This window comes from Homo sapiens, chromosome 2, assembly GCF_000001405.40.
Source record: "Homo sapiens chromosome 2, GRCh38.p14 Primary Assembly".
In the NCBI taxonomy this organism is placed as follows: Eukaryota; Metazoa; Chordata; class Mammalia; order Primates; family Hominidae; genus Homo; species Homo sapiens.
Genome location: NC_000002.12, coordinates 240,723,413 through 240,739,112, shown reverse-complemented (window position 1 = coordinate 240,739,112; position 15,700 = coordinate 240,723,413). Strand labels below are relative to the sequence as shown.

General features: G+C 60.1%; 1 protein-coding gene across 28 annotated transcripts in view, besides 1 other annotated feature; it reads left to right on the top strand.

The window, feature by feature from the left end:
* The window catches only part of KIF1A (kinesin family member 1A), a 107,637-nt gene that overhangs the window by 82,291 nt on the left and 9,646 nt on the right, over positions 1–15,700 (top strand). For 14 of the 28 annotated variants that reach the window (NM_001379653.1, NM_001379650.1, NM_001379645.1 and 11 more), the window contains 5 exons: positions 1,945–2,050; positions 12,173–12,287; positions 13,709–13,842; positions 15,077–15,138; positions 15,555–15,700. In NM_001379653.1, the coding sequence (NP_001366582.1) occupies positions 1,945–2,050; positions 12,173–12,287; positions 13,709–13,842; positions 15,077–15,138; positions 15,555–15,700 (563 nt within the window). Of the gene's footprint in view, positions 1–1,944; positions 2,051–4,367; positions 4,395–10,700; positions 10,725–12,172; positions 12,288–13,708; positions 13,843–15,076; positions 15,139–15,554 lie in introns of all 28 variants that reach the window. The other 14 variants (XM_047444819.1, NM_001379649.1, NM_001379632.1 and 11 more) reach the window with 2 other exon arrangements.
* Positions 4,868–5,368: an enhancer, noted in NCBI's record as "H3K4me1 hESC enhancer chr2:241673162-241673662 (GRCh37/hg19 assembly coordinates)". NCBI's record gives its function as "activates a minimal SCP1, AML or CMV promoter by ChIP-STARR-seq in primed H9 embryonic stem cells {active_cell/tissue: H9 hESC(primed)}" and the evidence as "EXISTENCE:reporter gene assay evidence [ECO:0000049][PMID:30033119]".

The following is a 15,700-nucleotide window of genomic DNA, read 5'->3' as shown; positions in this document are numbered from 1 at the left end:
GTACACCAGGATACATGCTTATGTTTTACAAGTTTTGTGTCTAATTTCACATGAATCAGAAAGTCATGGAACAAGCACCCAAACCCTCCTTTCAGAGGTTGTTTAGGGCAAGCCTAAGAAGAGTGAATTGATTTATAGGCAGAACGTAAGCAAATACACAGCTGGTTTATGGACCCGGCCACACGGTAGTTGAGGAACGATCCCTGGGGCAGCACTGCCCTCACATTCTGAGCCCTGGTCTCACTTCCCTCAAGGCAGACAGGAGAGAAGGAAGAGGGGAAGCTGGATCTGCATGGTTGAAAGGACGCATCCTTCGGGCCTGGGTCTGTCACCACTCAGGCCCCGCCTGCTCAGATCCACCTTCTCCCCACCTTCTTTCTAAAAAGGCCAACAGGAGTGTCTGTTTATGTGGGGTTGGGTGATCAGGGATGCTATTTAAAGGGATCTGGGGAGATATGGTATGAACCCCAATGCTCCCCTTCAGGCTAAGGGGTTTGGGCTCAGCCTCTCTGGGCTTCGTGACTGAGCAGCCCTGTGATTGGACTCAGGGCACAGAGCAGCCAAGTCACTTTCTGGGGAGCACCTAGCCTCTCTCCTGCTCCTCACCTGGGACCCAATCTCACTGTTCACAGCCTTCTCCAAGCTCAGCATCCCTCCCAAGAGGGCCATGGGACTTTCCAGCCCTGTGAGTTGGACAGGACTGGGCACAGGGTCAGCGAAAGGGATGAAAGTCGAGGAGAGACCCCGGGTGTCCATGAGCAGTGGGTGGGTGCACCCTTTGAGGCAGGGGAGGGAGTCAAAGTGCAGACAACAGAGGGTCAGGACCCCAGCCCAACCCCTGGCACTCTGTCCAGACCAGCGGGCTCATGGGTGTCAGTTTTGTGGGCCAGGTACTTGGTCAGACGCAGAGCAGGCTAAACACTGCTTAAGTGCAGGCCCCGAGGGCTGAGAGCAGCTGCGCTCCCCTCCCCGAGGGCTGAGAGTGGCTCTGCCCAGGCAGCGATCTCTGCAGCTGAGCCTCTTCCCTGCCATGGGCACTGCCCAGCATGGACCCAGAGGGCCCTGGCGTGGGGAAGGGCACTTTGCTGGGATCCACCTGCCTCTTCCCAGGACCTAAGTGCTGCAAAGTCATGGGTCAGAGTTCCAGCAATGGGATGGGGCAGGCCCAGTGTGCACCCATCAACACAAAATCCTAGCGTGTCCTGGGTTTTATCTTGTCCATGCATGGCGGAGAGGGAAGGCTGCCGTTCCTTCCTGGCGCAACAAAGAAAATGTACATGTGTTTGTTTACTCCTTTGAATGAGCAGAACTGTCACTGTCTGGCCAAGAAATTACTAGGTGAAGCCACTAGACAGTTTTCCTGCCTGATAACGGCTCTGGTTTCTTTCACAGAGACAGACAGACACCCCCAGTGCATGCAACTTAGCGGGCTCTCCTGGAAATGCCCCTTGTAAGAAGAGGTTTTATGGCACAGAAAGTGTTCTCTCCTATCCCTTCCCATCCCTCCCCTCCTCTGCTCTTCTTTCCCTCCCTCCCTTCCTCCCTCCCTCCCTCCCTCCCTTTCCTTGTTATTATCATGACTTTTTGGTGTAAGAAGAAGCAGGAACATTCCTCCTCTGTGTCTTGCTTAGCCTTCCTTTTCCAGCAGTCAGGAAGGCCGGTGGTTTCCAGGCTAAGCACCTGCATTTGTCAGTGTGTGTATACGGGGGTGTTCACTGTGGCCGAGAGACAGACAAGAAAGACCGTGGAGCAGCAACTACACATGGCACCTGGGTTGCTGAGGACCCTGTAGGGCCTCCCTGTTCCCCCTGGCACCGCCTTTGACAGACGCTCTAGTGACCATGTGGGGAGCTGGCTTGCTGACAGGACCCCCACCTGAGGCAGCCCCCCAGGGTCCCACCTGCCCCCTGGGAAGTGACCTGTGGCCCGTTGCCTTTTCTGCAGGCCGCATCCGAAACACTCCAGAGACCGACGAGTCCCTGATCGACCCCAACATCTTGTCTCTCAACATCCTCTCTTCCGGATACATCCACCCAGCCCAAGATGACCGGTGAGTCGGAGACTCCCTGGAGACAGGGCCCAGGGCATGTTCCCAGCCTGCCAGGCCCTCAGCCAACCCGGCACAGGGTTCAGCCACACAAGGTGACCCGCTCAACGCTCTCCCGGCCCTCCCTCCTGGCACCTGCAGGAGCTGTGCGGTGAGGGGCTGGTGGCCTCTGCACCCCCGGCTCCTCGTTTGTGCACCTCGTTGCTGGTTCAGGCATCCCCATGCCCATTTGTTTATCACCAAGCAGAGGGGCCAGCGCAGGGGTTGGAAGATGAGCTGAGTTCTGTCCTCGGGAGTTTTGTGGTTGCGTGGTGTGGGGACAAGTGGCTGTATGTCCAAGGACCATGCTGCTGTGGATGAGTCAGTGGCCTCTGGCAGGCATCCTGGGGCTAGAGGTGGAGCAGCTGGGGTGGGCGCCCATAGGCACTGCTTGGCACAGGCCCCTCATCACCAGGCTGCTCCTTCCTACACTCCTTGCACGGCCAAGACCCCACAGTCTGGGCGGTCCCAGCCCGACCGCATTTAGGCTGGGGTTTTGGCGCTCTGGGATGTCTGTGGCAGCCCTATCGGGGTCTGCTGGGGTTAGGGGATGGGAGAGGGAGGCAGCCCCTGCGGTTGGCCTGGGCAGGTGGCTCAGCACTGCCAGGGGCAGCCCTGGTGGGTGGGGACGTCCCGCGGGCTCCACTGCGTCCCAGACGCTGCCTTCCAGGGGCTTGGGGAAAGTGAGGCGGGGGCTCCAGTGTCCAGTCCTGGCTGCTCCCTGGGGGCTCGACCTGGCTCATGATGCACAAGCCCAGAGTGGACCCTCAGAGCTGAAGCCGCAGGTGTCTCCATGGCTGTGTTTGTAGGAAAACGTCTTTGAGGGCCTCCCTGCAAGGAGGGTCAGGGTCATAAGGAAGGAGGGTCCTGGCGGGCGTCGTCTCCTATTCTTCTGACTTGGGTCCACACAAAGCTTTGGTTTCATCAGCAACACCCAGAAAGTGGGCTATCGGGGCTTAGCACTGCAGTAAGGAGGGCACTGCAGGGGCAGCCAGGGCAGGGGGCAGCTGGATAGTCAGGGTGGGCACAGCGCTGAACAGTGGGGGGTGGGGGTTGGGCACAGACCTGGGCAGGGTGGATGCAGCTCTGGTCCCAGCCCTGCCTGTGGCCTTCCAGAGGGAACTTGCCCTGCACTCATGTCCATAGGAGGGTGGAGAATCCGGGGGGTGTTCTATGTGGAGGTGGTGCCATGAGGGGGGAGCACGTCTGGGAGAGGGAGAGGTGAGGCAGACCAGGTGGGACGGGCCGGGGCTTGGGGCTTCCCCGTGCCTTGCTTCTCCTGCCGCCATGAGAATGCTCCCTGGTGAGGTGTGGAGAAGGCCTGGAGCCCCCAGCACGGGCGCTGCCTGCAGAGTGTGGGCTGCTGTGCCTGGGCCATGGGGGACCAGGAATTGGAGTAGGGGGTGGGGCCCGGAAGGGCGGGTCTGCCATGTGAGATGTGCTTTGGAGCCTGGGAGATGACCTCATTACCTTATTTTCCTGACCTCTGACCCCCCTCAGCCCAGGCAGCTCCTGGGGTGGGGTGGGCAGGGGCTCCAGCCCCCCAACCCCACCTGCTATCTCTCTGCACAGAGGGCTGAGTTTCTGAGGTCTTCCTCAGAAGACCAGCTGCCATGGGTGACGTAGGAGGGAGCGGCTCATGGCTGGACCTCAGGCCACCCTGTTCCTGGATGCCTGAGAACCTGTCACTGAAGGGGCTTTGGCCCCACACCCTGAGGGCTGAGACATGAGGCCGGTCCCAGGGTGCCTCTGGGGTTGAGGCAGCCCTGTTCTGGGGTCAAGGCCCTGGGTCTGAGAAAGGAGGAAGGCGCGTTGCGTGGGCGCGGCCTCCCCGAAGCGGCTTTGGCCCTCGCTTGGCTCCTGCCCGTGCTGGCAGCTCCCACCCCTAGCCCTGCCCTGGAGCAGTCTTGGGGACTGTCCTCTGCTGGCACCCCCAGGCAGGCACCGTCCTGTGGCTTGGCTGACCAGGCCAGTGGGCCTTCCTGTGCCATGGACGGTGCTGGCGTCCTCAGCCCCATGATGGGCCGGGCTGCTCCAAGGCCGCTCTCCCTGACGTGCGGAGGCTCAGGATCCCCGGCTTCTGGCTCCAGCCTGGGGCCTTGGCCTTCCATGCGCTTTTCCATGGCCTTGCCTCCTGCCCGCTCCCAGGCCCCACGCTTTGCAGCCTCCCTGGCTCAGAGTGGGCCTGTGGCCACAGGCCGCTTCCCTCTGCCTGTCCCCCACCCCGCTCCCGCTGCGCTGCCCGGCCCTCACTAACCGTGTGATTGTTTGTGTTTTGCAGGCAGTTTCTTGATTCGGACATACCTAGGTATCATCTGTGACCCTTGGTTTACCCTTGGTTTCATTTCAGCCTCTTCTTTCCTCCCTGCTCCTCCCCTGACCGCCCCCCATGCCCCTGAGAAGTTAACTTCCAGCTTCCTGGACTCCTCACACACGTGCTCACCTGTCCTCCTGTTCCTCCCGTCTTCTTTCTTTTTATTCTCTTGGAATCTTGGTTTGATTTCTTTATTGCTTTCCCACCCTGTCCTCTTGGCTGAGTCCCTTCTTCCCCCACTCCTGATTTTGGCTGCTTTGTAGTTTCCTGCTCCCTAGTAGACACTGGCTGGCCTCCTGCTCCTCCTGCCCCAGCCTTGCCTGCCCCGCGCCACACCCTGCCCTGTGGATGGGCTCGGTGTCCCGCACGCTGCTGGCTGGCCCGCTGCCCTTGGCTGCACCACCCTGTGAGGACCAGCCCCGCTCCCCTCTCCCTGCAAGGGGCTGTAGCAGGCAGAGCCATGAGCACAGGGGTTGGGGAAGGGCAGACAGGATCCAGCCCAGGAGACCCTCACACTCCGGCACATTCCACAGCCTCTCGTGAGTCCCTCACCTGGCCAGGCCAGGAGGAGGGACAGCGGCTCCAGCCACGCTCCTCTGGCCGTGGCCACCGAGCATCCTTTTGTGGAAGTGGCGGGTGGTGAATTCATGAAGAGACCATAGAGTCCCAGACTCAGGTTGTCCAGCAGGAGGCTCCCTTTTCCCCGGCTGCAGTGAGGCCCCTGCCCGTGCCAGCCTGGGGCAGGGAGTCGGCGAGACCTTGGGGATGGAGGGCCTCCAAGTCCCTAATCCAGGCACTGGTGAGAACTCGAGTCCGTTCCGAATGGAAAATCAAGGCTGCCTGCTCCTGGGTCCCTGCATGACTGTGGCCAGCGTCACGGCAGTTATCCTGTGGGGTGGCGTTTGTGAAGTGAACTGAGCAGCAGAAGGCCTTTCAGACCAATGATGGGCCTTTAAGCCCTGTAGTTGTGAGGTGTGAGGCCGCTCCTGGCACAGAGCCCCAGGGCAGTGGGGCTTGGCCAGCACTTTCTGAGGCCACATCCTTGTCAGGTCGTGTTGCGATGGGTCAGGACAGATGATTGACAACTGTGGCAGAGGGACTGTGGCCAGGAGAAGACTCTGCCCAGGGGTGGCCGGGCCAGAGTCCCCATTGGCATGGTCCCTTGAGCACGTGCACACACACCTCTTTCCATGAACAGATCTTTTCTGAAGGCTGCCGCACCAGCCCTCCCTGGGGACCTGGATGCAGCAGAAACCCTGTCAAGGGACCCCTGTGATGGTGGCTGGGCTGAGGAGGGAGCACGGCCCTGCAGGGCCTGAGCAGGGGCCTCCCTCTCCCTGCAGTGAGTCTGGCGGGCTTGCAGGAGGAGGAGATGGCATCGTGCTAGCTAGTCCTGGAGTCAGCTGGCCTGCCTCTGGGAGTTTCCCCATGCTCGGAAAGATCTGGGTCTGGGGAGCCCATCAGCTTGGGCTCTAATTTAGGAGCTGTTTTCTGGGCATTGCTGTGCCATTGGTGGGGCCGCAACATTCACCCACGCACTCATTGATCTTTCACGTGTGACTAAGACACTCATGTGAGCCACATCCTGTGGGATTAAAGGCAAAATCAGGAAAAGTCTGTCCAGGTGGGTCAGAGCCTGGCCAGGAAGCTCATTCACCCTCTCATCCCCCCCTCATTCCCCCTCATCCCTCCCTCATTCCCCCTCATCCCTCCCTCATCCCTTCCTCATACCCTCATCTCTCCCTCATCCATTCCTCATCTCTTACCCTTCCCCATCCCCTTATCCCTCCCTCATCCCCTCTCTTCCCCATCCCTCCCTCATTCCCCCTCATCCCTCCCTCATCCCTTCCTCATACCCTCATCCCCTTATCCTTTTCTCATTCCCCCTCATCGTCTCGTCCCTCCCTCATCCCCTCATCCCTTATCCCCTCATCCCTTATCCCTCCCTCATTCCCCCTTATCCCTTCATCCCTCCCTCATTTTCCCTCATCCCTCATCCCCCCTCATCCCCTCATTTCACCCTGTCGTCCCTCACCCCCGAACTCCTCATCCCCTTATTAGCTCCTCCCCTCATTCCCTCATCTCCTCATCCCTCCCTCATTCCCTCATCCATCCCTGATCCCTCCCTCATCCCCTCATACCCCCCTCATCCCCCATCCCTCCCTCATTCCCTCATCCCCTCATTTTACCCTATTTCCTCACTCAATTCCTCCTCCTCTCACCCTTTCCTCCCCTCACCCCCTCATCCCTTACCTCCTCGTCCCTGCATTCCCTAATTCCCTCACCCTCTCCTCCCCTTACGCCCTAATCATGCCTCCCTTCATTCCCTCCGCCCCTCTTCCCTTCATTTTTTCCTCCCCTCTCTCCCTCACTCCTTCACCCCCTCATTTCCTCATCCCCTCCTCCCCTCATTCTCTCCTCCCCTGATCCCCTTCTCCCTTCATCCCTCCTCCCCTCATGTTTCATCCCCTCTTCCCCTCATGCCTCATCCCCTCCTCCCCTCACGCCTCATCCCCTCCACCGCTCATTCTCTCCTCCCTTTATCCTCTCCTCCCCTCCTCCCCAATCCCTCATCCCCTCCTCCCCTCCCCTCATCCCTCCTCCCCTCATTCTCTCCTCCCCTCCTCCCCTCTTCCTCCTTCCCTCCTCCCCCATCCCTCATCCCCTCCTCCCCTCATTCCCTCCTCCCCTCATTCCCTCCTCCCGTCATCCCCTCCTCCCCTCATTGGCTCCTCTCCTAGTCTCCTCCCCTAGTCTCCTCCCCTCCTCCCCCCATCCCTCATCCCTCCTCCCCTCCTCCCCTCCTCCCCTCCTCCCCTCCTCCCCTCATCCCTTACCCCCCAATCCCCATAGCAGACACTAACCAAGCAGGCTGTGTCCTGGCCCTGTGGCACAGCAGTGATGGGGACTGCTGGCCCTGGTTCTGGAGCCAGAGTCCAGCGACAGTGTCAGCCAGGGCGAGGGGGACTGTGGGGGTCTTCCCAGTGGGGAGGGCTCACCAGGAAACAGTGAGCTTGCCTGAGCTGGGGGCACAAAAGGAGCCCATGAGCAGAGGTGGAGGGGAGAGTGGAAAAGGCAGCTCCCGGTCAGGGCCGAGCCCCTGACCTGCACTGCCTCTGAGGCCAGATCTGGTCTAGGATTCTCCTCCTCTGAGGACAGCGACCTCCAGGGCCACGCTGTCTGGTGGAGGTGGTGGGGAGCAGTGACATGCTGGTTGTCTCCCAGCTGGCACAACTTCAGGGGTGGCATGCGGTCGGGGCACCAGCTCTGGCTGTGTCAGCGGCTGCAGCCCAGCGCTGCTGGTGGAGCCAGGGCCAGAGCCGCATCCGATGTTGCTCAAAGTCCGTGCATTCCTCAAGCCTGTGGGGACAGGATGCAGCTGTCTCCAGCTGCGCCCCCACCCCCTCCCTGCCTCTGTTTAGTCTGTGCCTGGCATCTGGCATACCTGGCATCTGGCATGCCCACCATCCTAGCCCCTATGTCTAAGTCCTTGGTGGGCTTTGAAATCCAGCTGCAGTGGGCCCTCCTCCAGGCACCTTCCTGACTCCACCCACCTCCTTCTCACTAGCCTAGCTGTAAAATCTCTCCTGTCTCTGTGTGGATCTACTGCAGATTTGCCCTCAGGCCAGGTTTCGAGCTTTAAAGGGCAACATCAGCCTTCCCAGCTGTACATTTCCCCACAGGACAGAGCCCAGGGCAGGGCTCAGTCAGGCCGGGAGGGAGCCTGCAGCTGCCCTCAGGGGGCTTGGAGGGTGGGGCCAGTACTGACCAGGACTCAGGCTGGAGGTGGAGAGGCTACAGAGCAGGCTCATGCTGCGGCCCTCAGGGGTGCCTGGCCCAGCCTCCTCCAGTTGGCTGGGCCCTGTGCGAATGCTGCATCCAGCTTTCATCCCAGAGACAGATGGGCTGCCTGTGTTCTCTGCTCCATTCTTGGGCTGCTTGGTGGATGGTGCCACATGACTGTGTTGTGTCATGTCCAGATCCTGTGAACCGTATCCCTGAGGTCGGGGTTCAAGCACAATCCCCTGCTCTTAGCTGTGTGTTCACATCGGATCAAGTCTCCTGCTGGGATCATGTTCCCTTCGGGCGAGGAGGGTCAGCCCTGGCTGCCATCTGTGGCCTCAGCCTGTTAGATCGCCTCCCTGGAGAACCTGGGCCTCCACATCTGGGTTGCATGTTTCCTCTTGTGATGATTCTGAGGGTTTGGGTGCTGTCACGTGGGATAGAGTGAGGGAGGCTTCAGGGGACAGGGCCTGGAGCAACCTCGTGCCTGCTCCTGGAGTGGGGGTCCTGGAGTGGTCTCCAAGGCCCTCCCAGCCCACATCCTCCAGTTTTTGCCATGGCAGGGTGATCTTGGCCACCTCTCAGCCTCCCTGGGTCTTGGTTTCCTGCTGTATGATCACAGGGCACCCATCAGTGGTTCCCATGCTGTGCCCTGCAAGCCCGGTGGGCCCCAACTGGCAATGTGGGTCCCATGTGGGTCCTGTGTGGGTGAGCTGCTACTCTGCCAGCCTGCTCCTCCCTGATCCACCAGCTGTTGTCTCCTCTAATCTCACTTGGGATCTGGGTAAGACTTGTCCTCCCTTTGTAGAGGCTTGAGGGGCATAGGGGGACTAAGGAGTGTTGCCAGGGACCCTCCTGGCCCGAGATTCCAAGGTCTGCTGCCCGTGACCAGGTGGAGCCAGGCAGGATGTGGGCCAAGGGCTGGTTGCGAGGCATTTAGGGTACAGCTCCCCTGGGCAGAGTGGGAAGCCTCTGGGGCTGACCAGCAGTTTGGAAATGACCCAGGGGCAGCACCATGGCTGTGCCCATGTCAGACCCTGGTCCGGCTAGCCATCTTGGCACCTGGGGGAGGGGACAGTGGTCTGGAAAGGGCCCATCCCTGCTGTGCACACAGTCCTGTAAGGCTCCCTCCCACCATTCTCTCCCCAGCTCACAGGTGAGACTCCACCACAGTCAGGTTCTCAGAGAGATTCTAGTCCACTGGGGTCTGAGCAGGGCAAAGCCACATACTACCTGAACTGAGAAATTCTCTGCTAGGACCCCCAAGGGGGCTGTTGTGGGCCTCATGTGGAAGTGGGTTCATGTTCTACTTACAGCTCCAGGCCTGGCTCCAGCAGAGTCCACTTGCTCCTAAGGAGCAGCCCCTGGCTGGGCCTTGGAGTCCTGCCTGCCTCACTGGGCTTGTTCCTTTGCTGTGTCCCACTCAGGGGCCAAGGAGCCCCAGGATGGGGCAGGGACGTGGTTCCTGATGAATGAGGAGTGCCTGGGCTGGGAGGACCTGGTGCTCTCTGAAGGGCACAGAGAAGGGAGTAGGTGCTGATGCTGGGAAAGACCTGCTGGTTCTGATCCTGGGGCCCAGGGGTGAGGGGCAGGTGGGCTGTGTCTGCACACACGGAGATGGAAGAGAAGGAAGGGGAAGAGAAGCAAGCTGAGGCCCTTTAGGGACTTTGGAGGCAGAAGACAGAGGGTCCAGCACAGGACCGAATGCTTGGGCCCAGCAGGAGAGACAGGGCTGGTGGGACCTGCAGGCTGGGTCTTACCCAGTGCATAGAAGTAATGAGGATGCTAGAGTGTACTAGATAGTGACGTGTGCCAGATAGTTACACTGATGTGTACCAGACAGTGATGATGACATGTACCAGACAGCGGTGCTGACGTGTACCAGACAGCGATGCTGACGTGTTCCAGACAGGGATGCTGACGTGTACCAGATAGTGATGCTGATGTGTACAAGCTCCAGGCTCTGTTCTCATCGTGCTCTAGTATTAGCTCATTTAATCTGCAAGACATCTTGAGGTAGGGGCAATTACTGCCCCATGGTACTTACAAGGAAATGGGGCACAGAGCTGTTGGTGACATCCTGAGGCCACACAGCTGTGAAGTGGCTCTGTGGCATTCCAGCGGTCTGAGGCACTTGTTCCAGGCCAGGCTGCAGTGGCTCCAGCCCTGGCCTGCAGGCCTGACCCTCCACAGGATCCTGCAATGTTCCAGGAGAGGAGCAAATCCCTCCAGGCCTTTGTCCTGGCTTCTGGGCATCCACCTGGCCCAGCTGAGGACAGACGCAAGGCTCTCACTGCAGACCCCAGGGAAGGGGGTGTCTGCAGGGCCAGGGCCAGGGGCTCCACCTGGGGCTTGCACCCCAGCCCTGTGTGCAGCGAGAGCCTGGGGGCCGTGAGATCCGGCGTGCACCTGCCGAACTCTTAAGTTTTCTGCCCTGGGCCTTGTGCCGGTGCTTGTTCTGACATCTCCATTTCTTCTGTATGTGTACGTGTGTGTCCTGGCTGCCTCCACCTTTAGCGTTTCATTGGGAAATGACACTAGGTACAGCTCACTTTTCTCTTCCGCCCTTGCTTGGTCTGTCCTCTTCTGCTCTTCCGAGTTCCTTTCTCCTCGGCGTCTGCCTGCTTCTATGCCCTTTCTCTGACCACCCGCTGTCCTCACTCTCCCAGGATTGCTCCTCGGTGACATGTGTCCGACAGCAGCCCTCCCTGGTCCTTCTGCTTCCTTCCACACCCCCGACTTGTGAGATCCATGCCCTGCGTCCCAGACCATGTGTGCAGTAGACAGGGCAGCCTGGTGCCACCTGTGCTCCACCGCGGTCTCGGGAGGGGCCCGGCCGCCTTGGAGCCTGCGTGGCCGCCCAGCTGTGTGTGTTGATGTCTCTGAACTGTGTCCTTGCGAGGATGCTTGGAGGGGAGCTGGGTGAGGCTGGGTGGATGGTGGGGTGGGCGAGCTGAACGTGCTGCTCAGGGTCTGCAGAGTAGCCACATTCTGGAGTCAGGCAAATTGTCCACCTCGGGTATGACCAGTCCTCCCTGTGAGCACCAGGCCTGAGGAAGTAGCTCAGTCACTGCCATCCAGAAGGCTGAAAACAGGAACTCTCACGTAACAGAAAACCCTGTTCCGGAGCAGAGGGCACCCAAGGTGTTTGCGGAACGTGGTTCGACCCCATGGGGATGTAAAATCCCAGGCCCCTGGGGCTGGCCCTGAGCCACCCTGGGACAGGGTTTGTGGGTGGCTGGCTCAGGCCGTGCTCATCATAACTCCAGGGTGGAGATTAGGAACACAGCGAGGCCGCCGCTGTCTCCCGTGTGCTAACAGAGACGCTTTTGCACACGGCCTTGCAGCAGCCACCCTGCCTCCATGCCAAGCATCCTCCCCCCGGGGCCTTCCTCTTCCCAATGGACCAAGGGTGAGTCCATTGTCAGAGGAGATGGACCATGGAGGTTTTTGGCAAACCCGGGCAGGTCCCCTTCAGGTCCAGGGAGAGATGGTGGCGCCTCCTTACTCAGACTGAGGCTGGGGTGGGCCCGCGCAGGCTCTGCCCTCTCCCTCCCTGCCTCTGTCCTTCCTCTCCTCCCTGCCTGAGTCCTCTCCTCCTGCCCTCCCCTCTCCCTTCCCTGTGTTCCCCACATCCCAGCTCCCTGTCCTGCCTCCCTCCTCCCTTCCCTCTCTGCCCTTCTTGTTCTCATTCCCTGCCGCCTCCTCTCCTTCCAGCCTCAGCGTGACAGCTGGGGCACCATTTGTGGTGGAGCTGGGAAAATGCTGGGCTCACCCTCATCGGGGCGTCCAAGAGACCCTACTCTCTGGGTCCTGAGTAAGGAGGGACCTGTCCTTCCTGGCACCGCCGCCCGGGCTTCCAGCCTGTGCCCCCAGCCGCTCCCTTGCGGCTGCCCCTTGTCTGTCGCTCTGTCTGTCTGCATGTCCCCGGCCTGGCTGAAAGCAGCCCCCACGCCATCAACTTCTACTTTGTCTCTGCTTCCTTTCAGGACCTTTTACCAATTTGAGGCTGCGTGGGACAGCTCCATGCACAACTCTCTCCTGCTGAACCGGGTCACCCCTTATCGAGAGAAAATCTACATGACACTCTCCGCTTATATCGAGGCAAGGCACCTATGCCAGGGCACTCCACCAAAACCACTCAGCCCCTGAAGCTTGAGGTTCTTGTAAGCTCTGGACAACCCCATATGACCCAGACGACTTCTCTAGTTCTCAAGTCCCTGGGTTAAATTTGTGTGCCTTTTAAAAAACAAAAACAAAAACTGGACTGCAAGGTTGAATCCATAAATCCATAAATCCATGTGCTGTTTTTTTTTTGTTTTTGAGACCGAGTCTCACTCTTGTCGCCCAGGCTGGAGTGCAATGGCGCAGTCTCACTGCAACCTCCGCTTCCCAGGCTCAAGCGATTCTCCTGCCTCAGCCTCCCAAGTAGCTGGGATTACAGGTGCCTGCCACCACGCCCGGCTAATTTTTGAACTTTTAGTAGAGATGGGGTTTTGCCATGTTGGCCAGGCTGTTCTCAAACTCCTGGCCTCAGGTGATCCACCCACCTCAGCCTCCCAAAGTGCTGGGATTACAGGTGTGAGCCACCGCACCCATCCTCCATGTGCTTTTAATGGCAGTTAACTCACTCTACCATACTTAGTGTGTGGGTGTTGTCCTTGGGATGCAAGATGGCTGCAGCACCACCAGACATTGTGTCTGCATTCCGGGCAGCACAAAAACAGAAGTGTTCCATCCCCACAGCACCCCCAGAGTCTGCAGTACATAGGCCGTGGCCAGACCTGGGCTGTGGCCTCCCTTCCAAGTGCAAGAGGTGACTGGAAGTGTGGGCGTTTCTTGCTGGTCATAGTAGTGAGGGAGAGGGAGGGTGGGGAGCAGTGGGCAGGGGCATCTGCAAGCACATCCCCTCTCCTTAGTTACAGCCGAATTATTCCAGCTTCACATGGGGATGGTGTGACCATCTCACCAGATGGTGGTGAGGTTGCCGTGAGGAGGCGCTGGCAGAGCTCTTCCCAGCGAGTGCTTGGGACTCTTCAGCCATGCACAGCAGCTGCCCCCACTTCAGGAAGACAAAGGGGCCAGCTGTTCAGCAGTTAGCGTGTCATCCACCAGGAAGTCATTTTCTGTGGTGTTTGGGTTAAAATGTGCACATTCAAACAAGACCTGGTTTGATCCTCACAGACATTCCAGGGTCGGGGAGGGGTCACCCCAATTTTATGGTGAGGCAGCTGAGGCCCGAGCAGTGAGCCTATGTCTGGGACCCTCGGGGTCCCCACACATGGAGACCAGTCCCTCAGGCAGCCCAGGGGTGGACAGAGCTGTGGCTACCTGTCCCCAGTGGGGTTTTCTCGAGGGCAGGAGCAGAGACTTTCTCCTGCCTGCGTCCAGGCCACACCTGAGGCCCTGGGAAGGCCCTGGGGCTGCCTGTCGGTGCTGGGCATTGTGCCCCCAGGAGAAGGCTGGAAGGGCACCTGGGCACTCGGGGTGTCCTTGTGCCTGAGTCCTGCTCCCGCCTATCTCAGATGGAGAACTGCACCCAGCCGGCTGTTGTCACCAAGGACTTCTGCATGGTCTTCTATTCCCGTGATGCCAAGCTGCCAGCCTCGCGCTCCATCCGCAACCTCTTTGGCAGTGGGAGCCTTCGGGCCTCAGAGAGGTAAGCTCCCAGGGGTGAGGACCACATGGACTCCCACCCTGGTCTCGGTGCGGGCCAGGCAGGGCTCTGCCTGGCAGCGGTCCTTGGGCCACCCGGCAGCTCACCCTGTGCGAGGCCCAGCCACACTCCTGGCTGGCTCCCTGCGCTCAGTCCCCTCCTGCTCACCCTAGATGAAGACTCTGTGGAGGCCATGGTTCCTGCAGGGGACACTGACACCACTATGAGGGACTTGAGGGCCAGCCTGCAGCGGATGGGAGGAGGGGCAGGCCCAGGGTGCCCACCTGGGGCCTCCTGTGGGTGATCCTGGGGCCACACCGTTCCCCCCCCCCCCCCCCCGCCGCCGGTGACCTTCTTCCCTGAGGACCACGGAACCTGTGCCATGGGACTGACTGCCCACAAGGCACTGAAGGAGGAGCTGGATAAGTGGGCGGTGGCTGGAAGGGGGCTCTGGACACAGCTTCCCACAGGACCTGCTGGGTGGCTCTTCTTGGAGGCTGTCAGCACCTTGGGGAGCCACACACCGAACACCAGGACCAGCCGTGCTTGCGTGCTGAACACGCTCCTGATTCTTGGGGGTGGGGGAGAATGAGCCGGAATGTCAGGGCCCTGACAGCAGGGCTGCCGAGGCTACCGGGCACCCGTGGCCACCTTCAGTGGGTCTCCCTGTGGTCTGCCACATGGACCTGGTGTCCAGGTTCACACTGGGCACAGCTGGGAGGAAAGAGCTTGGGGGTCAGGATCCAGTGTCCTTGAGGGCTGGCTGTGGTCATTCTGGAGGTCACTCAGTAATTGTGGGATGCCACCGACCTGTCTGTGGGAGGGTGGCCGAGGTGCTCTCAGAATCTGTCCGGGGCACAGTGGGGCTGCTCTGTGGGGTATGGGGCCTGAGGGGCTCTCGACGCCGTGGAGGGACTGGAGATGCCAGATGCTGTGCTCATGTTGCCTGTACCCCACTTGGGCTGGGACAAAGTGGAGGCTGCTGTGGGGGCCTGGCCTCACGTCACAGCCCCATGGGCACCTGAGCAAGACCAGCCAATGCATCTTTTCTCTGGGGGCCGGAGGGAGTCTGGGATGAGGACTCTGAACAGGGGCTGTAGCTCAGGGACCTCAACACCCCATCACCCCAGCCAGGCTGACTGTGCGTTTGATAGTGGGGCAAGTCAGCAGCCAGGCTGGCTGTGTGTCCCTGTTGCGGGGCCTGGTGACTGCATGTCACTCCTTCTACTCCCCACAGTAACCGTGTGACTGGTGTGTACGAGCTCAGCCTGTGCCACGTGGCTGACGCGGGCAGCCCAGGTAGGTATCTGCCCTGCTCTCACTGGGTGGGTTCCTGGCCTGCTCAACCTCTGCCCACTTGGGGTGACCACAGCGAAGCTGCCATTTGCAGGGGGATCCCTCACAGAACCCAAGCACTCACCTTGTGGCTTCTGGAGTTGTTCTGAGATGGGAGGAGAGCGAGGGAGGAGAGTCAGGCCTGCTGGCTTCCTTGGGTTCCCAGGGCACAGCCGAGATGGCCATGGGACGCCGGGCTGGATAACTTCCTATGGAAGAGGCCTACATGGCTCTTTGGGCCCCAGGGTGGACCAAGGACCAGGGGAAGCCCATCTCCACTCCAGAGGGGAGACAGCTTCACAGATGGGCGGACCTCTAGGATGGGTGGGAGGAGCAGCCACCCATCAGGTAGGGGTGGAATGTCCACGTGCCCCATGCAGGGATGCAGCGCCGGCGCCGACGAGTCCTGGACACATCTGTGGCCTATGTCCGGGGCGAGGAGAACCTGGCAGGCTGGAGGCCCCGGAGTGACAGTCTCATTCTGGACCACCAGTGGGAGCTGGAGAAGCTGAGCCTCCTGCAGGAG